General features: G+C 40.3%; 1 protein-coding gene across 27 annotated transcripts in view, besides 3 other annotated features; it reads left to right on the forward strand.

Annotated features, from left to right (window-relative positions):
* Positions 1 to 26340, forward strand: part of CEP192 (centrosomal protein 192) — a 133675-nt gene that overhangs the window by 57389 nt on the left and 49946 nt on the right. For 19 of the 27 annotated variants that reach the window (XM_006722326.4, XM_005258107.4, XM_047437562.1 and 16 more), the window contains 15 exons: positions 109 to 931; positions 1015 to 1141; positions 4169 to 4340; positions 7030 to 7948; positions 8835 to 8983; positions 10332 to 10562; positions 19081 to 19206; positions 19344 to 19487; positions 19609 to 19672; positions 20102 to 20241; positions 20339 to 20431; positions 20988 to 21106; positions 22289 to 22462; positions 24005 to 24095; positions 24259 to 24435. In XM_006722326.4, coding sequence (XP_006722389.1) covers positions 109 to 931; positions 1015 to 1141; positions 4169 to 4340; positions 7030 to 7948; positions 8835 to 8983; positions 10332 to 10562; positions 19081 to 19206; positions 19344 to 19487; positions 19609 to 19672; positions 20102 to 20241; positions 20339 to 20431; positions 20988 to 21106; positions 22289 to 22462; positions 24005 to 24095; positions 24259 to 24435 — 3549 coding nt within the window. Of the gene's footprint in view, positions 1 to 108; positions 932 to 1014; positions 1142 to 4168; positions 4341 to 7029; positions 7949 to 8834; positions 8984 to 10331; positions 10566 to 19080; positions 19207 to 19343; positions 19488 to 19608; positions 19673 to 20101; positions 20242 to 20338; positions 20432 to 20987; positions 21107 to 22288; positions 22463 to 24004; positions 24096 to 24258; positions 24436 to 26340 lie in introns of those variants that run through there. The other 8 variants (XM_047437564.1, XM_011525673.3, XM_047437565.1 and 5 more) reach the window with 2 other exon arrangements.
* Positions 3257 to 3326: a silencer, noted in NCBI's record as "silent region_9328". NCBI's record gives its function as "represses an Ori minimal core promoter by ATAC-STARR-seq in GM12878 lymphoblastoid cells {active_cell/tissue: GM12878}" and the evidence as "EXISTENCE:reporter gene assay evidence [ECO:0000049][PMID:35858748]".
* Positions 13196 to 13407: a silencer, noted in NCBI's record as "fragment chr18:13061945-13062156 (GRCh37/hg19 assembly coordinates)". NCBI's record gives its function as "represses an EF-1alpha promoter that drives an FKBP-Casp9 reporter gene in an ReSE screen in K562 erythroleukemia cells {active_cell/tissue: K562}" and the evidence as "EXISTENCE:reporter gene assay evidence [ECO:0000049][PMID:32094911]".
* Positions 19794 to 20993: an enhancer, noted in NCBI's record as "BRD4-independent group 4 enhancer chr18:13068543-13069742 (GRCh37/hg19 assembly coordinates)". NCBI's record gives its function as "activates an origin of replication core promoter dependent on BRD2, P300/CBP, MED14 and CDK7 cofactors, and independent of BRD4, by STARR-seq in HCT116 cells {active_cell/tissue: HCT116}" and the evidence as "EXISTENCE:reporter gene assay evidence [ECO:0000049][PMID:35650434]".

The following is a 26340-nucleotide window of genomic DNA, read 5'->3' on the forward strand; positions in this document are numbered from 1 at the left end:
GTATCCACTTGGAGGTTTTGAAACGCATCTCCCAATGATAATGGGGGACTAATGAATGTTCATGAAACTGGGGTAAATTTATCTGATGTTTAATTTTCTCACTTCTAGGACACTTTCTTCATGAGCAACAAACCCCAAAGATACAAAGACAAGCTACCAGATAGTGGTGATTCTATGCTTAGGATCAGCACCATTGCTTCAGCCATTGCAGAGGCATCAGTTAATACTGATCCTTCCCAACTTGCTGCAATGATCAAGGCACTTTCAAATAAAACCAGAGACAAGACTTTTCAGGAAGATGAGAAACAAAAGGACTATTCTCATGTGCGTCATTTCTTACCTAATGATTTAGAAAAAAGTAATGGATCCAATGCACTTGATATGGAGAAATACCTTAAAAAAACAGAAGTTAGTAGATATGAAAGTGCATTGGAAAACTTTTCAAGGGCTAGTATGTCTGATACTTGGGATTTATCTTTGCCCAAAGAACAAACTACTCAAGACATTCATCCGGTGGACTTAAGTGCTACTAGTGTAAGTGTGAGGGCACCAGAAGAAAACACAGCAGCTATTGTTTATGTTGAAAATGGAGAGAGTGAGAATCAAGAGTCATTTAGAACCATAAACTCCTCAAATTCAGTTACAAATAGAGAGAATAACAGTGCAGTAGTTGATGTGAAGACATGTTCCATTGACAACAAATTACAAGATGTTGGTAACGATGAAAAAGCTACCTCAATTTCCACTCCATCTGATAGTTATTCATCAGTGAGGAACCCCAGAATAACATCCCTTTGTCTGTTAAAAGACTGTGAAGAAATACGAGATAACAGAGAAAATCAGAGGCAAAATGAGTGTGTCAGTGAAATAAGCAACAGTGAGAAGCATGTGACTTTTGAAAACCATCGCATAGTCTCACCTAAAAATAGTGGTAAGTGTCTGAGTCGTTGGTCACATTCATAAAATTACAAAGTTTATTTTCTCTTCTTACTGGAAAATACCCCTTTCTGATAGATTTGAAAAATACCTCTCCTGAGCATGGTGGACGTGGCTCAGAGGATGAGCAGGAGAGCTTCAGACCTTCCACGTCACCACTGAGTCATTCTTCTCCTAGTGAAATTTCTGGAACGAGTTCATCAGGGTAAGTGTGTACCTTCTTTTTTAAAAAATAAAAATATGCGTTCAGTATAGGAACTGGGAAAAAAATGTGTAAAGAAGAAAAATTATCTGTGCATTCGTCTCTCAAAGGTAACTCTTGTAAGCTGTGAATTTCTTTCCAGCTATTTTTCTGTGCAAACTTTTGTATATTGCTTTTTTTTTTACTCTTTATAACAATCATTCTCTGAATTTAAAAGAAAACTAGTAATGTTACAGACTGCATAATGGATCTGTCATGGTTCACTTGATACTTCTGGTGAAGACTTTGTATCTTAACTGTTTTGCTATATAAATGATATTGGGATGAATAACTTTGTTCATAAAATTTTAATTTTATGAATGTCTTTTGTGGCTTTATAAAAGATCTTTAATATGTTTATTGAAAGAGTCTAATAAATGGAAAAACTTGCCTAACCAGCAAAATTATCAAAAATGTTAAATGTAGTTTTGATTTGTTTCAAAATATTGGATTTCAAAGATACCTATTAACTATTTACCAAGCTGCCATTAAAGTTTTTCATGTTCATCTGAAGCAACATGGTACGGTTCAGCTAGTGCTCAATGTCAATGGAGAGCTTAGTTCCTTCTATGACTCCTTATGGATGCCTCAGTTTGAAACACTTTCATATACATATACACAGTCACTTCTTATTTAATAGTTAATTGCTTTTTTTTTTTTCTTTTTTTTTCCGACAGAGTCTCGCTCTGTGGGCCAGGCTGGAGTGCAGTGGTGTGATCTTGGCTCACTACAACCTCTGCCTCCTGGGTTCCAGCGATTCTCCTGCCTCGGTCTCCCGAGTAGCTGGAACCACAGGCACGTGCCACCATGCCTGGCTAATTTTTGTATTTTTAGTAGAGATGGGGTTTCACCATGTTGGCCAGGCTGGTTTTGAACTCCTGACCTCAGGTAATCCACCTGCCTCGGCCTCCCAACGTGCTGGGATTACAGGCATGAGCCACTGTGCTTGGCCTGCATATTTTAACAGATGTATTACCAGTCATCCAGCCCAAAGCAAATTTGAAGATCATCTGGCTGTGACATGGTGTAGTATGTTTACAGTCTTTGGCTTACACGTTTTTTCCCTTATGTTTCTTATAGGTATTGCTTTACTGTCCCTATGGAAGACTAGAGGGATATCTGAGACTAGCCTGATTCTTTTTGCCTTTGAATTGACTTGATGTTTTTGCCAAAATTCTTTATTTTTCTAGTCTAATAATTGCATTAGGGTATATCTCTGTTTGATTCTTCATTGTTACTTTGCTCTGTCATACAGTATACCCTTTCGGTATGTCTTCCCTTTTATTTTGCCTGTGTTCTTGCAGTTCAGTTTTCATTATTTGAGATAATTTCACCTAAAAGCATTTGTTCTTGTTAACCAAAGGAGTCAAACTAATACAACACATCATCCAGTGACTCAGAACATTTTCCGTGCTGTATCATACTGTGTGTATGTGTTTGTGTGTGTGTGTGTGCGTGTGTGCGGGAGTGCATGTGGATACAGAAACCCATGTAGGTTCATGTCATGCGGGAGCTAAAGAAGGCCTGAAGCAATTTGGTTAGTAATACTTTGTTGCTGTTGGTTAGAAACTTACTAACTGGTATTTTGACAATACCGTCTTGATTTGGGACTTTTTATTTATTTTTTATTTTTTTTGAGACAGAGTCTCTCTCTCGCCCAGGCTGGAGTGCAGTGGTGCAATCTCGGCTCACTGCAAGCGCCGCCTCCCAGGTTCACGCCATTCTCCTGCCTCATCCTCCCGAGTAGCTGGGACTACAGGTGCCCGCCACCATGCCCAACTAATTTTTTGTATTTTTAGTAGAGACGGGATTTCACCGTGTTAAACGGGATGGTCTTGATCTCCTGACCTCTTGATCCACCCTCCTCGGCCTCCCAAAGTGCTGGGATTACAGGCGTGAGCCAACGCACCCAGCCAATTTGGGACTTTTTAAAAGTTCAGAATTCAAATTTGAATTTTCTGTGTACGTCCATTGCCTAGCTGAGTATTCTGAACTTTGTACAAAAAAGAAAGATGGTGGAATCCATCCAAGTGAAGGGCTGAATTCAAGCTAACTGGCAGAGCATAGGTGTGGAGACTGTTTCCAAATGTGGCTTGACACTTATTTCCTATCCCCTGTGCTCTTTTGCACTGTGACTTTGCCGCTTCCCCTCAAGAGGTGCAGTCCGTTTCCTGCTCCTTGCATCTCGGCTGGCAGCCCTGTGAAAGGTGCTTAATGAACAGAATAATGAGGAAGTAACCCTGGTGTTTGTGCAGATAGATGTGAGACTCACTATTTGTCACTTCCTGATCTTTTCATTTTACGTTGTGTAGCAGGGACATCTTTCTGAACCAAGGCTAGAACAGCATGCTTTTGAATGGCTGCATAGTGTTGTATTGCATGTTTGTGCTCTAATTTCTGTAGCTCAGTTCCTCCTGTCTGATTTAAGCTTTCCTACTTTTTGTCCACAGTGATGTGGACATGTCCTTTTTGTGAAGTCTTTATATTTATCATTAATTTTTTTTCTCAGGATAAATTCCTAAATGTAGAATATCTGAGTCAAGAGGCCTTTGATATGTACTGCTTAATTGCTCAACCAAAAGTTGTACCACTTGATAGTCCCACAGTGGTGTGTGACTGTTCCCATTTCTTTGCACTTATCTGCATGATTTTTTTTCCTCTTTGCTCGTTGAGGGTTGGAATCTTCTGTTCATTTCTCTATATCAGATACTTAGCAGATTTTTATAGCATGAATAGCTAATTGCTAATAATGAATTGCTGTGTGTCTTTATATGGTATTTATTAATGAAAATGCCACAATACATTTTACACTAGTTTAACAGATGCTTCATTCAATGGGAATATTCTTTACAATTTTAGATAATTAAGTGTAAACATTGAATTTGTGGTTGAGTCATTTGCAAGATTGTAGGCCCATAGGAATGGTTTTTTGCTAATGTAGATAGTTGAAGGACTGGAGAACTCCAGGTGTGAGCTACTCTTCTCTTTCAGGTGTGCGTTAGAGTCCTTTGGTTCAGCAGCTCAGCAGCAGCAGCCTCCCTGTGAGCAGGAGTTGTCTCCCTTGGTGTGCTCGCCTGCTGGGGTGAGCAGGCTGACGTATGTGTCTGAACCAGAGAGCTCCTATCCTACCACAGCCACAGATGATGCCCTGGAGGACCGCAAGGTGGGCAGCCACTTGGATTATTTATTACTAAGGCTTTCAACTCTTAAAAGTGTTAACAGATGTTTGATTCAGACTACAGTTCAAGCCTATATAACTTCAGTGTTGCTCTTTTATCTTTAAAATGATTTTTGTATTTGTGTGCACATATTAAATACCTACTCATGCTGGTAGACACAGAGGTACAAACATTTTAGGATCTGCCCTTGAAGAGCTCTGTCTGGTGAGGCACGCTGTGTAATGAAGTGCATCATGCTGCGCGCATACTATGGGGACTCAGAAGGTGGTGGTTGGAAGTCTGACTGCCTTTGCTTCAGCAAAGGTTTCTGCAGGGATAAATACACTGAAGCCACACCGTGCAGGACTGCTAGGAGTTAGGCAGCGGGGAAGCAGAGTTAACACATGGGGAGGTGGAGAGTTGTAAGATACAAACTGCATCTGGGCACTCCAGGAAGTTTAGAACGGCCACAGTGAATCATGTCAATAGGGAGAAGTGTATGAGGCTAGAAGAGGGGGGACCAAACCGGGAAGGGTGCTGGGTTTAAAATACGGGAGTTTGAAGGCTTTTTAGCAGGTCACTGTCATGATCTGTTTTGATTTTGTTTTGTTTTTGTATTTTTTAGAGACGATCTCGCTCTGTCACCCAGGCTGGAGTATGGTGGCACGATCACAGCTCACTACAGCCTGGGACCGCTGGTCTCAAGGGATCCTCCTGCCTCAGCCTCCCAAGTAGCTGGGACTACAGGTGTGCACTACCACACCTGGCTAATTTTTCATTTTTTTTTGTAGAAACAGCTTCTTGCCATGTTGCTCAGGCTGGTCTTGTACTCCTGGGCTCAGGTGTTCCTTCTGCCTCGGCCTCTCAAGTAGCTGGGACTACAGGTGCCTACCACCACATCTGGCTAATTAAAACAAATTTTTTTAGAGATGGGGTCTTGCTATGTTGCCAGAGCTGGTCTTGAACTCCTGGCCTCAAGCGATCTTCCTGCCTTGGCCTCCCAAAGTGGTGGGATTACAGGCATGAGCCACCAAGCCCAGGCTGGTTTGATGTTTTAAAAGCTCACTCCAACAGCAATGAGGAAGGAGGGAACAGTAGGAGCAAAATTAAAATAGGAGATTTGACATGAGGCCACTGTAGTGGTTCAGGCAAGAGACAGTGCACGCTTGGGCCAAGACAGTAGCAGTGGGAATAGAATAGAAGATCAGAGAGATTTATGTGGGAGAAGCTAGTATTAGCTATTTTCGTGTGTGGACGTTGTGGATGTGACAGTGTGCAGTTTTTTGATGAGCTAACTGTGACTGCTGTGGGGATGCTGCATAGTCTTCCTCCACCAAGCCACTGAAGAGTTACTGAATACACAGCGTAGTGTGAGAGCATTACACCCCTTTCTTTGAAAGCTGTCTTTTTCATGTTGTTGTTAGATACTGAGTCTGCATGTTCTTAGCATAGTGGTTGAGAGCTGGGTTATGGTGTCAGATAACTTATCTTCTGCTGCCTCCTCAGACAGATTACTAAACCTCCCTCAACCTGTTTCTTCATCTGTAAGGAGGAATAGTATGTGAGGGCAGTGCTTGTCACCTAGTAAGTCACCACTGGATACATATTATTTGTTATTATTAATTGGCAAATAATATAGTCTTTGTTTCTTAGTGTCTTTATTTCTGAAGCTTTGGCCAGGAGAAATTTATAAACCAAGTACCAAAGCAATCAGTGAAGGTTACGTCTATCTAGTCTGTAAATTTCAGCTGGTCCATCCTGCAGAGCTGCAGATGTCACTCCTCAGATTATGCATTATGTACAAACAAATGAGTGTGGACATTTACCAGGACTGTTAACTTCATGCTTCATAGAGCCACACAAGTTTAGAAATGGGAGAGGGCTTAGAACACATAAAAGTTAACATCTTTGGCCGGGTGTGGTGGCTCATACCTGTAATCCCAGCACTTTGGGAGGCTGAGGCAGGCGGATCACCTGAGGTCAGGAGTTTAAGACCAGCCTGGCCAACATGGTGAAACCCTGTCTCTACTAAAAATACAAAAAATTAGCTGGGCATGATAGCGGGTGCCTGTAATCCCAGCTACTTGGGAGGCTGAGGCAGGAAAATGGCTTGAACCAGGGAGGCGAAGGTTGCAGTGAGCCGAGATTGCGCCATTGCACTCCAACCTGGGCAACAAGAGCGAGACTCTGTCTCAAAAAAAAAAAAAAAAAGTTAACGTCTTTGAATCTTCAAGCCCAGGCAGTAGCATGGACAGATGGTGGGGTGGGGCCCTGCCAGCCTGCTGAGCCGCCGCCTGACCTCAAAGTTGTTACCGTTTCAAGCTTGCTCAGCCCCCACTCCTTCGTTACTAATTTATTTGGATTTTTTTGTAAAGTTTACAGAAATCCCTTAAATCTTCAAAAAGTTACTAGACTCTGGTCGTTTATCTGTGCAAAATTTTCAGATATTCTTAGTGTATACCTCCTATTTATTTTCCTCATGGTATAATTCTTTTTACAAAACAACAAGCACAAATTTTCTAATTTAAGTCTGCATTTCACAACTGCAAGACTACTATTTTTGTGTAAACCAATTTTTTTTCAAAGAGACACCTCATGCACATCTCTTTGTTACTTGAGCTTTTGCCAGCATGTTTCAATTTGTTATATTAAGTTTATCTGTGGATTATTAAAAACAAATTTTGTTGCACTCAGAGTGATATCACCAGCGAGTTGAGTACCACAATTATTCAAGGCAGTCCAGCCGCATTGGAGGAACGGGCTATGGAAAAATTGAGAGAAAAAGTTCCATTTCAGAATAGAGGAAAAGGAACATTATCATCTATTATCCAGAATAACTCTGATACAAGAAAAGCAACTGAAACTACTTCTCTGAGTAGCAAGCCTGAATATGTAAAACCTGACTTTAGATGGAGTAAAGATCCTTCCTCCAAAAGTGGAAATCTGTTGGAAACCAGTGAGGTAGGTTGGACATCAAACCCTGAGGAATTGGACCCGATCAGGCTGGCTCTCCTGGGCAAGTCAGGTCTGAGCTGTCAGGTGGGGTCAGCCACATCACACCCTGTGTCCTGCCAGGAGCCTATAGATGAAGATCAAAGAATAAGTCCTAAAGATAAGTCAACTGCTGGCCGTGAGTTCAGTGGCCAGGTTTCTCATCAGACCACCTCTGAAAACCAGTGTACTCCTATTCCCAGCAGCACAGTTCACAGCTCTGTGGCTGACATGCAGAACATGCCTGCTGCTGTGCACGCACTCTTGACACAACCCTCTCTCAGCGCTGCTCCTTTTGCTCAGCGGTATTTGGGAACACTCCCTTCAACTGGAAGCACCACCTTGCCTCAGTGCCATGCTGGCAATGCCACAGTCTGTGGCTTCTCAGGAGGCCTTCCCTATCCAGCTGTTGCAGGAGAGCCTGTGCAGAACTCTGTGGCTGTGGGAATTTGTCTAGGATCAAATATCGGCTCTGGATGGATGGGTACCTCTTCCCTCTGTAACCCATATTCTAATACCTTAAATCAGAACCTGCTAAGCACAACAAAACCTTTTCCTGTGCCGTCTGTTGGTACAAACTGTGGAATTGAACCATGGGATTCAGGAGTGACATCAGGATTGGGTAAGATGCTTTTTCTCTATTATTATTACTTGCTATTATTTTCTCAAATGACACCACAAAGCTAGTTTGTTTCAAGGAGTTACTGGTTAGCATTAATTCCTTGTAAGTTTTGTGCTTCTTCCTAAACTGAGAACACCGTGTATTTCTGTGCAAGCGTCCCTAAAGTTGGCTTAGAAAAACGCTACACTTATGCAGGTGACAGGCTGCCTATGGCTCTGTCTTCCTTATCTCTCTTTTGCTCTGCCATTCCAGTTTTGTGATTATTTCCCCTAGGAAATGTCCAGTTTAGAATTGAATCCCAGAATGAGTGAGTGCCTCCACCTTGTGAGTCTCTGGGTGGCTGCTGTGGTGGAGAGGCAGCACTCTCGGGTGCATTTGTGGGGCAGCTTCTCTCTGGGAGCTGTGCTTTTACTGACATGGTGCACACGGCCACTGGGGTGCTGTCTTCTCTGCCCTCCGGAGCAACTGCATGAGGATGTTGGAACATAGGTGGTGGTATTAAAATCTGATACGTGTCCACATCTGGAAAGTTAAAGCCTCTGGAGGTTTTTTTTGTTTGTTTTTTTTTTTAGGATAAGAATGACTTACAATTTATGAGAGAAAAGGAGATTACTTACAGGCAGTAACCTCAAAGAATTGATTAGCCGTAATTGTGAGTTTGATCCAATTTTAATTTTTCTTTTCCTGCGCTGGATGGAAGCAGGAAAAAATTGTTGGCAGGCCTCTGAGGCTCATGCAACATCAAGGACTCCTTCATCTGGAGCACTTTGACTCTAGCTCTGTGTAAACAGGCCATCTTATAAACTCATTGCCATTTAACAGATTTGGCTTATAATCAGGGGTTTGCTGTAACTTGCATTTTTGACTGTGCCTTATTCTCACCCAGGGAGTGTCCGAGTGCCCGAGGAGTTGAAGCTTCCTCATGCTTGCTGTGTCGGGATCGCTTCCCAGACCCTCCTCAGTGTGCTTAATCCAACTGACCGCTGGCTGCAAGTCAGCATTGGGGTCCTCAGCATTAGTGTTAATGGTGAAAAGGTAGCTTTCTATGTCTTTCTCATTTAACCTAACAGTTGCATTGTGATTAGGTGCTTGATTTCCCCCATCTCTAGTGCTAGGTTCTCCCTTCACGCCTTTATTAATGCACACAGTCATTGCCATGGTATCTTTCTCTCAGACCCCTTTTGTTGTAGTGCTTGTAGAGTGTAAAGTGAAACAGTTTTGCATTTTCCATCATTTATTATTTATATTTTATTGTTATTTATTGGTAAATTCCTATAAATTTGCTTTTAGTGCTATTATTTAAATCATCAAAAGTTCTGAGTTTCTTGTTTCTACTTGTCAGTTTTGTTAAAGGTGATTGAATATAAGTAACCATGACTTGTAAAAAAAAAAAAAGAAAGCAGTTACTCTTGGAGCTTATGCCTTCATTTGGCAAGGGAAGTCTTTTTAACTAGTTTATCTGATGATTTTCTTACATGAGCTTTTGAAATACCTGGAAATGCAGTTTTAATATGAACTTTTAAGACAGATGTCTCTTACATGATCAATTACAGTTGCTATAATTCTAGACTCTAAATCTTCTCTCCTGGTTACAGTGACCATTTGAACATTGGTGAGTGGAGAGGGGGGATATATGGTCAGCAGCTGTTTTGAAATGTCCCAGTTTTACGACTGTTACTTGTGAATCAGTATTGGTGGATGCTTCCCTCGTGCCTCTTAGTGGCCATCGTCTGCCTGGTAAAATAAGATCGCCTCCCCCTACGCCGTCTTGGCTTTTCCCCTCTACTTCCAGTCCTTAGGTTAGATGAAAAGTAGGTGATTGAAGGAGAGGATTGAGGGTGGAAGGTGGGCTGTGAAGACTTTTTGGGGGCATCCTGGAGTCTGTGAATGAAGCAGTGTTGTCTATGGAAGTGGGGAGTAGAAAAGAAGATCCCCATTGACAGTGAGGAGGGAGGGTGGCTGGAGTTGTCACTGCAGTCGAGGCGGAGTCAGGGCTGTGGGACCTCAGCGGTTAGCCTGACTCTTCTTCCCCCCAGCCCCCACCCACTGCTGTGTTGTGTGTGCTAGAGAGACTTACAGGGCTGTGAAAGAGTGACCTTTGTCAGTGTCCTTTTTAAGACAAGTGAGTGTAAGGGTCAATGTGCTTGCTTGGAGGTGGACTGGGGAGACAGCCTTGGTGCAGCAAGAACATTCAACTCAGGAAGCATTTGACTCGTTGTACTTCAGAGACCATAAATGACAAGGTTTTGACATTTTTGAAGAGATAATAAATGTTTTAATTTGGCAGTTTGAGTGATTGGGAAAAGGAATCTTAAACTAGGTGATTCTACTTGATTTTCAGTGTGAAGCCATTAATAACGAACTTTATGGCTCTTTTTTGAAGGTGGATCTTTCAACATATCGTTGTTTAGTTTTCAAGAATAAAGCCATCATAAGACCTCATGCCACAGAAGAGATAAAAGTGCTTTTTATACCATCCAGTCCTGGGGTTTTCAGATGCACATTCAGTGTTGCTTCTTGGCCATGTTCGACAGATGCTGAGACCATCGTACAGGCAGAAGCTTTGGCCAGCACCGTCACTCTCACTGCCATTGCCGAGAGTCCTGTTATTGAGGTACCTGTTTGAAAATGAATCTTTGTCATACCTGGCATTTTAAAGAAGACTGTTTAACCTTAGAAGTAAAATTTGGGAAAAAGAAATTTGTGGACGAAGGTGCCACAAAATTAGTTTCAAGCTGAACTTTGGTTCTTAATATCTTTTTATTTCAAAATTTAAAATTATTTTTAGTTTTACAGTAACACAAGTATACTTGCTTAGATATCTATAAAGCAGAGTATAAGGTTAAACACTATTTTCCACTGATTTCCATTGTATTATTAGATGTGCACTTAGCAACATGCCAGTGGTTCATATTCTTTTTATATTTCTGTACCTGGAGATTATTTGTCAGCTAGAAAAGTTTCCCTTCTCTAGTCACCTATTTTCTGGAAGCCAAAGAAATTAGGTCTGGCCAAGTTGGGATAATAAGTGGTCATTGGATTATATGCTCATTTAGGATGATGACTCTCAACCATGGCTGCACATTGGAATAACACTGGGGGCTTCTAAATGTACCCCAATACCTGAGTCCCACTTAGACTGACTAAATCAGAGCGAGGGAGGGTGTGGCTGCCTCTCGGTAATTTTCAAATCTTCCCAGATGATTACAAATCATAGCCTTAGTTAACAACCACTGCTTTACAAGAGCTATCTCCTCTTAGTTGATAGTGAAATCAGAACTAACATTGAAAAAAATTAAGGAATGTGAGAGGGAGAGATGGGAGGGTGCAGAATAGAGGAAAAGCAGAACAGGTCTTGATACAGTCCTGAGTCGCTTAACAATAGGGATATGCCCTGAGAAATGTGTCCTTAGGCAATTTTGTCATTGTGTGAATATCACGGAGTGTACTTACACAAACCTAGATGGCACAGCCTTCTGCACGCCTAGACCTTATGGGATAGTCCATTGTTCCTAGGCTATGTACCATTGTTCCCATACAGCTTGTTACTGTACTTAATACTGTAGGGCAGTTGTAACACCATGATAAGTGTTTCTATAGCTAAACATAGAAAAGGTACAGAAAAAATACATTATAAAAGATTTAAAAAATGGTACATTTTATAGGGCACTTACCAGAGGACTCGAAGTTGCTCTCTGTGAGTCAGTGGTAAAGGCCTAGGACATTACTGTACACACTTGGAGACATTATAAACACTGTACATTTAGGCTACACCAAATTCATAAAAGAAATTATACTATGATGTTATGATGGCTATATCACAAGGTGTTAGGAATTTTCCATCTCCATTATAATCTTATGGGATCACTGTCCTGTATACAGTCCATCATTGACCAAAACATCATTATGTAGCATGTGACTTTAATTAAAAATTAGTTGATTTCACCTGGGCACTGGCACACACCTGTAATCCCAGCACTTTGAGAGGTCAAGGTGGGTGGATTGCTTGAGCCCAGGAGTTCGAGACCAGCCTGGACAACATAGTGAGACCATGTCTCTACACAAAATTTTAAAAATCAGCTGGGTGTGGTGGTGCATGCTTGTGATCCCAACTACTCAAGAAGCTAAGGTGAGAGGATCACTAGAGCTCAGGAGTTTGAGGCTATAGTGAACTATGATCACATCACTACACTCCAGCCTGGGCAACAGAGCGAGACCCAGTCTTAAAAGGAAAAAAAAAAAATGAACTAATTTCCTAATATGTGAATTGAACTTAACATATTTAGCTAACCACACTTAACAGATGTTACTGATTTCCTCCTAAAGTTAATTAGTTGTTTCAGGCCAGATGTGGTGTCTCATGCCTGTAATCCCAGCACTTTAGGAGGCCGAGGCGGGCAGATCACCTGAGGTCAGGAGTTAGCAACCAGCCTGGCCAACATGGCAAAACCCTGTCTCTAGTAAAAATATAAAAATTAGCCAGGTGTGGTGGCGGGCGCCTGTAATCCCAGCTACTCAGGTGGCTGATGCAGGAGAATTGCTTGAACCTGAGAGGCGGAGGTTACAGTGAGCTGAAGTCACGCTATTGCACTCCAGCCTGGACAACAGAGCAAGTCTCTGCCTGAAAAAAAATAAAGTTAATTAGTTTTTTCATTCCACAAAGCTGTAACTGTGACTTGCAGTTTAGAGGTAGGTGTTGGGGATGAGACACAGGGCAGCCACTCTGGGAGACAGGTGAGAATCACCAGTGTTTTCCCCACAGTACACGTTCTCTAGGGGAATGCTTAGTAACCTAGCTCAACGACTTTATTTTCTAGGGCATGGAGGAGGAATTTGATTGGAAATGTTCTTTATAAAGTTTTTTTTCCATGTTTTTGTGTTCCTGTGTTCTTATGTTGATATTTGCACATATTATAAACTTTTAGTGATCTTTTTCTTTTTGGCTAAGTGCCATTTTATATACTTCTCAGTCAGCTCTGCTCTGCTTGCTTTTCTTTAGGTCAAGGATTTTTAGCATTAACACTACTGCCATTTTGGGCTAGAAGATTTTTTGAGGGTGGGAAAGGCTGTCTTGTGCAGTGTAGGATGTTTAGCAGCGGCCCTGGCCTCTACCCACTGGGTGTCAGTAATACCCTTTTCCCCACTGTGATAACCAGTAACGTCTCCAAACATGGTCAAGCCATCCCTGGTAGGAACCACTGAGAACTGGTGTTATTAACCTCCTGCATTTAAATACATTTCACTATATCAGACTGTTGAGCCTACCTTTAAGCAGTTTACCTTTCTGTAGCAGACATGATAAATCACATTTATGCAATATTTGGCATTGCTGTGTCCCGAGCGGCTCACATATATCAGTGGTGTTTGGTAGTAGAAGGCAGTGGTTCCCTACTGGTGTGCTCATTGGAATCACCTGATGAACTTCAAAAACTACTGATGTCTGTGTCTGAGCTTTGAGTCCAACAAACAGACAAGTTTGGGAACCACTGGTGTAGGGAATAGTTCAGTGTTAAGCCAGTTAAAAGCTGCCTTCTTGGAGGAGTGGAACTAGAGGAATTAGGCCCTGATGGTTCAGTAGGATTTGACTAGAGAACAACATTCCCTGTGAGAGAGCATTCAGGAATTTTATATAGAGGCCACATGCATAGAAACTGTTAGATTACTTTCTCAACGTGATAAAGCGTCTCCCAGGTACATAATACAAATGTTACAGTTTAAAGTATATGCACCTTTATTTTGGCTAGATATTGCCAATTTGCTCTCTAACTTACATTCCTAGAAGAAATGTGTGCAGGTTCCTGTTATTGCTAACATTTGGTACTGTTAGATTTTTTTTTTTTTTAATCATTCTGGAGTGGTATGGAATTTTTTTTAATTTAAAATTTTTCTTTTATTTAAAAAATTTTTTGTGGGTACCTAAATAGGTGTATATATTTATGGGGTACATGAGATGTTTTGTTTCAGACATGCAGTGTGAAATAAGCACATCATGGAGAATAGCTTATCCCCTCAAGCATTTATCCTTTGAGTTACAAATAATCCAGTTACATACTTTAAGTTATTTTAAAATGCACAATTATTATTGGCTATAGTCATCCTATTGTGCTGTCAAATAGTAGGTCTTAATTCATTCTTTCTATTTGTTTAGTACCCATTAACCATCCCCACCTCACCCCCAACCCCTACCCTTCTGAGCCTTTCATAACCATCTTTCTATTCTCTATGTCTGTAAGTTCAATTGATTTGATTTTTAGAAACCAGAAATAAGTGAGAACGTGATGTTTGTCTTTCTGTGCCTGGCTTATTTCACTTAACATAATGATCTCCAGTTCCATCCATGTTGTTGCAAATGACTGGATCTCATTCTTCCTATGGCTGAATCGTACTCCATTGTGTATATGTACCACGTTTTCTTTATCCATTCATCTCTTGATGAACACTTAGGTTGCTTCCAAATCTTAGCTGTTGTAAACAGTGCTGCAATAAACATATCTCTTTAATATACTGATTTCCTTTCTTTTGGGTATCTACCCAGCAGTGGAATAGCTGGATCACATGGTAGCTCAATTATTAGTTTTTTGAGGAACCTCCAAACTGTTCTCCATAGTGGTTGTACTAATTCACATTCTCATCAACAGTGTACGAGGGTTCCCTTTTCTCCACATCCTCACCAGCATTTGTTATTGCCCGTCTTTTGGATATAAGCCATTTTAACTGGGGTAAGATGATATTTCATTGTAGTTTTGATTTGCATTTCTCTGATGATCAGTGATGTCGAGCACCTTTTCATATGCCCATTTGATATTTGTATGTCTTCCTTTGAGAAATGTCTATTCAAATATTTTGCCCAGTTTTTGATTGGATTATTAGATTTTTTCCCATAGAGTTGTTTGAGCCCCTTATATATTCTGGTTATGAATCCCTTGTCAGATGGGTAGTTTGCAAATATTTTCTCTCATTCTGTGGGTTGTCTTTTCACTTTGTTGATTGCATCCTTTGCTGGGTAGAAGCTTTTTAGCTTGATGTGATCCCATTTGTCCATGTTTGTTTTGGTTGCCTTCGTTTGTGGGGTATTGCTCAAGAAGTCTTTGCCCAGATCAATGTCCTGGAGATTTTCCCCAATTTTTTTTTTTTTTTTTTGAAATGGAGTCTCGCTCTGTCACCCAGGCTAGATTGCAGTGGCGTGATCTCGGCTCACTGCAACCTCTGCCTCCCGGGTTCAAGCTGTTCTCCTGCCTCAGCCTCCCGAGTAGCTGGGATTACAGGCATGCACCACCACGCCTGGCTAATTTTTGTATTTTTAATAGAGATGGGGTTTCACCATATTGGCCAGGCTGGTCTTGATCTCCTGACCTTGTGATCCCTCCACCTCAGCCTCCCAAAGTGCTGGGATTACAGGCGTGAGCCACTGTGCCTGGCCCCAGTGTTTTCTTGTAGTAGTTTCATAGTTTGAGCTGTTAGGTTTAAGTTTTTAATCCATTTTGATTTGATTTTTATATATGGCAAGAGACAGGAGTCTAGTTTCACTCTTCTGCATATGGATATCCAGTTTTCCCAGCGCCATTTATTCAAGGGACAGTCTTTTCCCAAGTGTATGTTCTTGGCACCTTTGTCAAAAATGAGTTCACTGTAGGCCGGGCACGGTGGCTCATGCCTGTAATCCCAGCACTTTGAGAGGCCAAGGCAGGTGGATCACGAGGTCAGGAGATTGAGACCATCCTGGCTAACACAGTTGAACCCCGTCTCTACTAAAAATACAAAAAATTAGCCAGGCGTGGTGGCGGGCACCTGTAGTCCCAGCTACTTGGGAGGCTGAGGCAGGAGAATGACGTGAACCCGGGAGGCGGAGCTTGCAGTGAGCCGAGATTGTGCCACTGCACTCCAGCCTGGGCGACAGAGTGAGACTCCATCTCAAAAAAAAAAAAAAAAAAAGAGTTGACTGTAGGTGTGTGGATTTGTGTTTGGGTCCTCTATTCTGTTCCTTTGGTCTGTGTATCTGGTTTTATGCCAGTACCATGCTGTTTTGGTTACTGTGGCTCTGTAGTATAATTTGAAGTTAGGTAATGTGATTCCTCCAGTTTTATTCTTTTTGCTTGGGATAGCTTGTCTATTCTAGGTCTTTTGTGGTTCCATGTAAATTTTAAGATTTTGTTTTTCTATTTCTGTGAGGTAGTATGGACGTTTTAACAATGTTGATTGTTCCAGTCTGTAAACATGGAATGTTTTTCTATTTTTTTGTGTCCTCTTCAATTTTCTTCATCAGTGTTTTATACTTTTCATTATAGAGGTCTTTTACTTCTTTGATTAAGTTAATTCCTGGGTATTTAATTCTATGTGTGGTATTGTAAATGGGATTACTTTTTAAATTTCTTTTTCACATAGTTCAGTGCTGGCATATAGAAATGCTACTGACTTTTATATGTTAATTTTGTATTCTGTAATTTTACTGAAAGTTTTTTAATCAGTTCTAATAGTTGTTTTTTTTTTTTAAACATGGTCACTTACTTTAATAACAATACATATACCATGTTATCACCATGGGATGTAAATTCAGGTTAGACAAGATAATTTCCCAAGTGTAATAGCATTCTGTGGTATATAAAAGTTTGTGTATGTTCTCCAGCCAAACCAACTTGCTCAGAGGTCATTAATCGCTTCCATTATAGGTAATTTGTTTAGTTTAATGTTTACAGTTCTTAGGGAGAAAATAACACACATTTAAAAATTGTTCATTTTTTCCATGAGTGCTTAAAATACATATTTCTATTTCATGATGACATTTAAAACTTATTCTAATATAACAACAGCAAAAATATAGTCTGCAGTTACAAAAGAACTAAACTAGAATCCATAAGTTATGCTCATGTGTACAATTGTGATTCTTTAATCAATACTATTCCTATGCAGCTCTATTGTAAGCTTTTGAGATTTGGTTTAAGCACACACACATACATACTGGCAGTTGTGGGAGGCTTTACAAGTTATATTCCATGCACTCTTTGGACAGAGTTCTAAAAGAGCCAGCCAGTCCACAAGACAGGCAGAAAAAAGTTAAATTAACTGGGGCAAATAGGACTCTTATATAACATCCAAAACATGAGATTCTGCAACAAACTGGGGGTACTACAGGGTTGGCCTGGTGTCTTCTCTAGAACTAATCTCATCACACAGTTTAAGATGGACATTTCAACACCATCAAGTGCATTTAGGTGACATGTTTCTTTTATGTTAACTCGACGTCCTTGAATGGCCTAGTTAGTAAACTAGTCACTAGTAATTCGGTCACCAGGCAAATCAAGCCTGCAAGAAAGGAAGTCAATATTCAAAATGCCATGTTACCGTCTGAACTCAAATAGTTTACTTTCAACATTAATATGTAACTTCAATAATGAGATGTCTAACTAAAGCAAACTCCTTCAACTAGATAAAGACAGCATCTCATTTAAATGCTCATCTTTTCCTTCCATATTACCTTTGACTAATGTTTTAGTTCTAAACAGTTTTTACAGTCCCAACATTAACATTGTTAACAGATTTATCAAGCTATTTATACATCTTTTTGCTAACCATTGCTTCATGAATCTCTTGCTTTTCCCTTTGTTACGGACTCTGTTATCTACATTTAAAGTGAATTTACTTCAAAGTTTATTTCATGTTTCTAGTTCTTGGGTTACTAACGCTTCTACTAGTTACTTTTGCTGAGTCTTCCTGATTTTCTTCTAGTGGCTTCTGATTTTTTGATATTTAAAAATTTTTAATGTGAGCTCACATTCATTGAGGCTGCTTTTTGCTTTAGGAATCCAATGATGTGTCCTAGTCTTTGGAAGCGTCCCTTGAGAGTACTTTTGCAGAAATGTTTGAGGTGTTAAAAGCCTTTGTGATTTTTTTCAGCTTGGGGCTCCCATGTCCCATGTGGCCTAGGCGTAGGCTTTCATGTTCTTGCAAATAATCTTCTATGCCACCCCTCTCTGGACAGGTTCCTTGTTGACTCCATAGACATGTGGACAGTTTTTTCAGTTCATTCCTTTGAGTTTCTGGGCTTTATATGCAGATTTCAAATTCCATTCGAGCCTCACCCTGCTCACAACAAGCTTGAAGTCACATCTTCTGTTCTCTGGAACATATTAAAGCTCTACCACCTTGAGCGCAAGTCTGGAACCCAGACCTTTCTGGGCCACCATGGAAATCAGCTCCTACTTACTGGTCTGCCTTTGATCTCTACTTATTTTGTGTTTGGCTAGAGCAAAACAAAATGTGAGCACGTCTGTGTGTGTGTGTGTGTGTGTGTGTGTGTGTGTGTGCCTGTATAATACAGTCTGTCTTCTGTATCTGTGGATTCTGCATTCTTGTGTTTTACTAACCTTGGATCAGAAATATTCAGAATAATAAAAGGGGTAGTTGCATCTGTATTGAACATGTACAGACATTTTTTTCTTGTCATTATTCTCTAACAATAAAGTATAATGGCTATTTACATAGCATTTACATTATATTAGGTACATTATGTTAGGTGTTTGAAGTATACAGGAGGATGTGCCTAGGCTATATGCAAATACTATGACATTTCCTATCGGGGACATCCACGAGTTTTGATATCCGGTGGGGGTTCCTGTACTGTCAAACATTTCCACATGTGGGTGTGTGAGGGGTCTGAGTTTGGTTGGTTTCCCGCATTTAGGGAAGTGAGTCTGTCATGATCATAGGCACTTGTTTTAAACTTTTGATATGTCTGTTTTGATACCATTTTAACATTTGCAGATTAAATCTGAAAATGCCAAGATATTCATGATCTTTTTAAAAGGAATTGAGAAGTTGTTATTCTAATAATAGAACCCATTGAAAAGGGGTCTATAATTTTATAAAATTATCAGTTCATCTTAAGATACAGTCTTTTCAAAGTAACAGCAGCTGAATTCTGTAGTATATTTGGGTACATAGACTACCTCAAAAGAAGAATTTAACATTTATTTTTGTAGAAAATAAGCAATTGTTAAATAGCCTGGGAAAATGTAGGTAAGTTTTACTTACTGCTGACTCATAATTTGTGGCTAGAAATGGCAGTGATATGAACATACATGTTGTGCTATTAATATATTGCTTTTCATAAATCATTCCCTTTTTTTGATAATTAGGTAGAAACAGAAAAGAAAGACGTTCTTGATTTTGGTGACTTGACTTATGGAGGCTGGAAAGCCCTCCCACTAAAATTGATAAACCGAACGCATGCCACTGTGCCAATTAGACTGATTATTAATGCTGTAAGTATGAACATACAGTAAGAAACCATTTACAGAATGCACTGATCTTATGAAAGTACATTTTTTTAAGGATTTTGTTAGCAAACTTAGCATTACACTGTTGGCTTTACTGAACTGATTCTTGTATTTCTAAACAGAACGCTGTAGCCTGGCGCTGTTTCACGTTTTCCAAGGAATCCGTCCGAGCTCCTGTGGAAGTTGCTCCTTGCGCTGATGTGGTCACTCGGCTAGCAGGCCCTTCTGTGGTCAACCACATGATGCCTGCTAGTTATGATGGACAGGTGGGAGAGAACTGGCTTAGAATTAAAGAGGAAATTAAGCTTCTAAACCTCTTTTCTTTCATTAAGATAGTAATATTAATACCAGTTTACATTAAGACAAATTTTTCTTTTAATTTTATAGGATCCAGAATTTCTGATGATTTGGGTTCTTTTCCATAGTCCAAAGAAACAGATCAGCTCTTCAGGTATCATGTTTACACTGTGTGGGAATTGCTTTAATCTGTAGCTAGATAAACTACAAATTTGAGATGTATTTCCTTTGTCAATAAATGTCAGTACTTCGAAATCTGTCAACTATTTTATGTTTTTTTGAAATTGAGGCAGATGGCATGCTGTTTTGGGTCAATCCTGTGTAAGTGTGGGTAACTCCTGCAGATAGCACTGAAAACCTTTTAGAATATTTTCTGTTAATTGATCTTATCACATTTACCAGTTGGATGTTTTCTTTCTTTTATCACCTTTCTCTTCACTCATTTCTATTCTTTTAACTCTTTAAAAAATCTGCTTGCCTAAATTTTCTTATTGCCCCTAAGGGCACTGTGTGGGACTGCTGATGGCATTTAGAATTAAATAACTCTCTGGTCTCCAAGCTAAAAGAATGAACTTTTTTTTAGATATTCTGGACTCAGCAGAAGAATTCTCGGCAAAAGTTGATATCGAAGTTGACAGCCCAAACCCTACGCCCGTTCTTAGAAGTGTGAGTCTCCGAGCAAGAGCAGGAATAGCTAGGATCCATGCTCCCAGGGACTTGCAGGTAGCCTCAGTCCTCCTTTCTGCCGTTACTGCTTTCATTCATGCTGATTTCACTTTGTGACAGTTCGTTGAAATGTCTGTCTTGCCCCATCCTCCAGACGATGCATTTCTTGGCCAAAGTGGCTTCCTCAAGAAAGCAGCACTTACCTTTGAAAAATGCTGGGAACATTGAAGTTTATTTGGATATCAAGGTATGCACTTCCATGAGAGTGCCATAAGATAGTCTTTCCTCAGACTGTGAGAGCTCCTTGCTTTCTGCAGGCTGTTGTGCTCTTCCTGGCCCAACAGAGTGCCCTGAACCTCAGATGAAAGAATCGCTGAGAGTTTTTAAAAACTGGGTGTTATATAGCATAAAATATATGCTGTGGTGCTTTTTAAGTTTAAAGTTCAGTGTCTTGAATATGAGAACCAAGTTCTTAGATTAGTTCCTGAAAAACATGCATGTCACCCTTTGGTTAGAGTTGGTGAAGAATGATCCGCACACGTTGACATCATTTCTGAGACCTGAGGGTGAATGAGAGGGGGTTAGTGATCCAAAATTGTGGGTGAGGTGGAAGATAAGGTTTGTTGTAGAAGAGAAAGAAATATCCTTTCCAAGAGAATAGGACAAGTTGAGACCGTGACAGACAAGAAGGGGACAAACAACCTGTCCTGGTAAATGAGAAACGCACGTAAGGCAGGAGCCACTGAGCGAAAACTGCGTTTTTGTAAGTCGGCATTCAATTATGATTATGTAACTATATTTAGGTCCCAGAACAAGGAAGTCACTTTTCAGTGGATCCAAAGAATCTACTCCTTAAACCTGGAGAAGAACATGAGGTTATTGTTTCATTTACTCCAAAGGATCCTGAAGCCTGCGAGGAAAGGTAATATAAAAATGTTATAATGGACCGGGCACAGTGGCTCATGCCTGTAATCCCAGCACTTTGGGAGGCCGAGGTGGGTGGATTACCTGAGGTCAGGAGTTCGAGACCAGCTTGGGCAACATGGCGAAATCCTGTCTCTACTAAAAATACAAAAATTAGCAGGGCTTGGTGGTGTGCACCTGTAGTTTCAGCTACTCAGGAGGCTGAGGCAGGAGAGTCGCTTGAACCCAGGAGGCGGAGGTTGCAGTGAGCCAAGATCACACCTCTGCACTCCAGGCTGGGCGACAGAGAGTCCGTCTCAAAAAAAAAAAAGTTTTAATGACAAAGTTTTACTTGTCTCTCAAAACAGCCACTCACATGTGCTTCAAAATTCCACAGCCTGAATGACAAAGTCCGTATATTTCTTACCTAATACATGGTGTGACTCTGTTTAATCTCCTTTCATTTAGGTTCAGATTGTCTTCTCTTTTTTTGACTAAAAATCTTCTTTTAAACCAGCTGAATCGAAATGAATAAATTACTATTTTCAAGTATATTCTGACAAAAGTAAATAATAAAAGATCAATTTGATGTTTCTCACTTTTTCTCCTGAAACTATTAGTTGACCTTGTCAGCTATTAAGATATCTTTCTCCATTTCTTCTCCAAGCCCATGACTTCTTGGCACCCAAATCATAAGTGAATATCAACTTAGAGTCAGAGCCCCACTGTCGTGAGTACTGAGCTTGCTTGCGTAACCCTAGCTTAAAGTACACTCTCCTCTGAGACACACATGGCTTATCCCCCTGCCTGGGTTATAGAACACTTTATCGTGTGCTCAGTCTGTTCTTGTGACCTTACAGAAGAGGAGAGTCAGGCCTGCACCAGTGTGAATGCCTCTGCCTGGAATGCTAGCCCTCAACCTCCCTGGGCTGGCGCCTTCTGGGAGACTTTCCTCCACTCCTCCCAAATGTCTCATAAATAGCATTCCCAAAGCACGATGGCTTCTCACACCCCCCTGTGCAGATGCCATTGTGATCATCTCTCTTCTTGTCTGTATTCTCTGCAGCACAAGCTCTAAGGGTGGGAATATCATTGTATCCCCAGCACCCAGTTCAGTCTTTTGGACAATGGAAACATATAGGAAATAGTTGCGAAAAGAATTGAATACAGGACCTTCAACTTAGAATTCTTTCTTTCTTAGGATCTTGAAAATATTTGTGCAGCCATTTGGACCTCAGTATGAGGTAGTGTTAAAAGGCGAAGTCATTTCTTCAGGAAGTAAACCTCTGTCACCTGGACCTTGCTTAGATATTCCATCGATTTTGTCCAACAAACAATTTCTGGCTTGGGGAGGAGTCCCTCTAGGTAGAACACAGTAAGTGTCAAAGACTGACAAATCGTCCACTATTTATACATATTTTGGAGCAGACTACAAATTAATGTTTGCAGGAAAATTTTGTCATAATAGACACTCTTCAGGCTCAATTGTGCAGAACTGGAAAAACCTAGATGGGCACGTGTCCTGATTCAGCTTTTCTTTAACATATATTCCAGTCCTGCAAAGAGCACCTGACGCATGACCAACAATACAGTTACTGCTGAGGAGGGAGTATCCCCTTAAATTCACTGCCACTCTGTATTTTTCAAAAGCCAGCTGAGAGAGAGATTTATGGAGAGCTGCATAGAGAATATGCAGTACATCCATTCTTCTAAATGATCTAAATTTCTCAGTCAACAACCACATAGTTTTAGCAAAACCCATGAAAGTGTTTTTAATGCACCAGACTTGGGTGTCATACTTCCCGACCACACCGAATGGAGCACCGAAGGGAGAGGGGTACCTTAGGAAATGGGAGGTAGTATTTACTGTAAAATTGTTTGTTGTTGTTTTTTTTTGAGACTCCCTGTATTGTACAGGTTTATCTTTAAAAGTATCTCTGGAAGAAACATCTCTCAGAAGCCTATGGCAGAAACAGTTACACTTCACTCAAGCAATAACTGGCTTGTTCTTGACTTTTGAGTACATTTAACTGATGATATGACTCTATGGAAACCTAGCCTCTCCCATCCCACCTGATAACTAACTCTATACTTGAAAATGATAACCACAGTGCTTTACAAATTATTAAATAAATACATGAGAATGAAAACTTTACAAAATAATGTTTCTTTCACGTAATTCTTCCCCAGTCATTGTACCTGTGGAAGGCTTTTCCTGGAGATGTCAATAGCCAAAGTTGTCTGCGTTTCTCTTAACACAAGGTGGATGAGACGTAGACCTCAGCTGCTGATTTATTAGCTGCTGATCTTCCCCAAATTTGAGTAAAACAGAGATTTACTCATGTATTCTCTGTTCTCCAATGAAGACAGCATTCACATAGTTTCCACAATTGAAGTGTTTTTATCAGTCAGGTGCTATTTTATGTCCATTCTTTTGCATTGTAGCTTCTTTAAAAGTAGAGTTAATTCAATATACTGTGTAAAAGACTACTTTGTGCAAATGAGCCTCTTAGCCTAGGACCCCTTGTTTCCCTGAAAGCTCGCTTGGTTGAGCCAGGTATTCCAGGTAGGTGTGATATTGACTTAATGACTCGATGAATTTCTTCACCTGGATTTTCATTGATTGATGTTTTATATGACAGATAATACCTATACACATAGTATTAATAATAAGGTCAGCTGCAGAGCTATAACTGGAGAGAGATTAAACCAAAAAGCCTCTATAAGGTGAGTCTTGAGCCTACAATTTCAGAAACGTAGAGCCTAGGACTGTGGGGAGACAATTCCAGGCTACTGAAATGGCTTGTATAGTTAGTCCATCTCTAGACATTGTGGTTGGTTTTAATTGGCTTTATTCTTATAATGGTAGCAATATCCATGGAGAAAAACCATATTTAAAATGTCTAATTGTTTTTAGGCTTCAGAAACTAGCTTTAAGAAATAATTCTGCATCTACAACTCAACATTTACGACTGCTTATTAGAGGACAAGATCAGGACTGCTTTCAGGTTCGTAGAGTACGTGGATTCTTGTTATGTCTTCTGTCTGGGTCTGGAACACTTGCATATGCAGACCTTTTTGTGTTATTTAGCTTTTAAGAATCTGTGTTAATGGTATGTTTTATTTGTGCTACTGCTTTGTTTTATGCATTTAACTGTTTTTAAATTGTAGCTTCAGAACACTTTTGGTTCAGAACAGCGATTGACCAGTAACTGTGAGATCAGAATTCACCCAAAGGAAGACATTTTCATCTCTGTATTATTTGCACCTACTCGATTATCTTGCATGTTGGCTAGACTAGAAATCAAACAACTTGGAAATCGATCACAACCAGGCATTAAGTTCACAGTAAGATCATTTTATTGCCTTTCCCTTCCCCTGGAGTTTATGCCATTTTATAACTATTGGTTTAATGTTGTAAATTATACAGTCTGCCTTTTATAAGTGAAACTATGTAATTATCTAGACTTACAAACAAGTTAGGGAGTAATTTATATGCTTTGTAGAATTGGCAAGTTATAATAGCAGCCAGCGTAGTATTCCTATAAGTATTAGTCTTTCTAATGCTTTTAAGTTTCATTTTAATTTGGAGATTTTAAAATGTACCCAGCTTTTTAGGAACACATCTTTGGGTAAATCCATGTGGAGCTGTTTAAGATATTAACTTTCCCATTAAATTTTATTTTCTCAATTATCAGCAAAAATACTGTCTCTGTCTGTTCAGTCGGCTATAACTAAATACCACTGAGTAATTTATAATAAACAACAGAAATTTATTGCTCACAGTTCTGGAGGTTGGGAAGCCCAAGATTAGAGCACCAGCAGATGCGGCATCTGGTGAGGGTTGCCCTCTGCCTTTTTGTCCCCACTCATCGTGAGAAGGACGAGAGTGCTGCCTCCAGTCTCTTTTATAAGGGCACCAAGCCCGTGCATGGGGCTGGAGCCCTCATGGCTTAATCACTTCCCCAAAGGCCCCACCTCTTAGTACTGTCACATTGGGGACTAGGTTTCAACATGTGAATTTGCGGGGGGACATCACCGTTTAGACCATACCAAATACCCATTGACTGAATTTGCCAGCTCCAAGACAAGAGTTTTTATGCTTTTTAATTGCCAGCATAATATGTAAAAAGGATTTGAAGCCATTTGTACAGACACATTCAAAGCAATTAGAGATAAAAGTGATAAATCATAGAGGAAAGGAAGCAACGGCAAGGCAGTCAGAAGAAACTCCAGCTACATGGTTGTGCATGCTTTATAACTGCACAGGTGTTTGGCAGTGGGGCTGGGGCTCAAATTTTTGTTCTATATCCTAGTGTTAAAGAGGGGATGTGATAAATTACAAGATTAACAATATCTAAAAGTTTTTAGAATTAGGTATGTATGACAAATACAGCTTTGACGCTGGAGCTTGAGCTCTGTGTCCTGTGGGGTCACTTGATTGGCCCCATGAGATGGGGTGGGCAAAGCTGTTTAAAGATGTTAGTGGTCATTTTAAAAACTGGCGTCCTTCCATGTGCACCCAGGGGATACTGCCAGAGCCTTTAAGCTCTCTGACGATCTGATTTTGTGTGAGGATAATGCTTGGTTTGTGGAGAGGACTAAATGGGCTGTATTTTTCAGACTTCTTGAATATATTCTGATTTGTTTAGGTTTACTAGCCATGATTTTGAGGTTGTTCTCAAGGAAGAATCTCTAGTAAGTCTCTGGTGATTTAGGGCAGAACCTTTGATTTAATAATCAACCAAGCAGGGGTTTGACATCCTTTGAAGACAAATCGGATCCTGGTGGGATTCCTACCCATATAGATGGCTGCCCTGTCCTCTCACAGAGGTGGGCTGGATGGGGTTTGCCTGTGGGCTATGGATAAATATGGCTATTATTTCACAAGAAGACTCAGAGTATTAACATTGCTGTGCCTTTGTAAAGATAAAGTAGCCTGCAGAGTGGCGGAAGAGCTGTTAACATGACAGGAGAACCCAGGGAGCCAGCCCTGTCTCTGTTACTTACCTCTCTCATCTCATCAGAAGCTACTTGCTGTCCCAACTTACCAATTTGGTTGTGAGGAACAAATGAAATGATCTGTGTTTTGAATACCATAAAGCATGATAGGACTGCAATAAAAATGTATTGATTATTCCATGTTGATTGTATTCTGGGCACTACCCTCAATCACTAAGTGGATGCTGTAATCTGAATGTGTCTCCCAAATTTCTGTATTGGAAACTTACTCTGCAGTACAACAGTGTTGGG

Source organism: Homo sapiens, chromosome 18 (assembly GCF_000001405.40).
Source record: "Homo sapiens chromosome 18, GRCh38.p14 Primary Assembly".
NCBI lineage: Eukaryota > Metazoa > Chordata > Mammalia > Primates > Hominidae > Homo > Homo sapiens.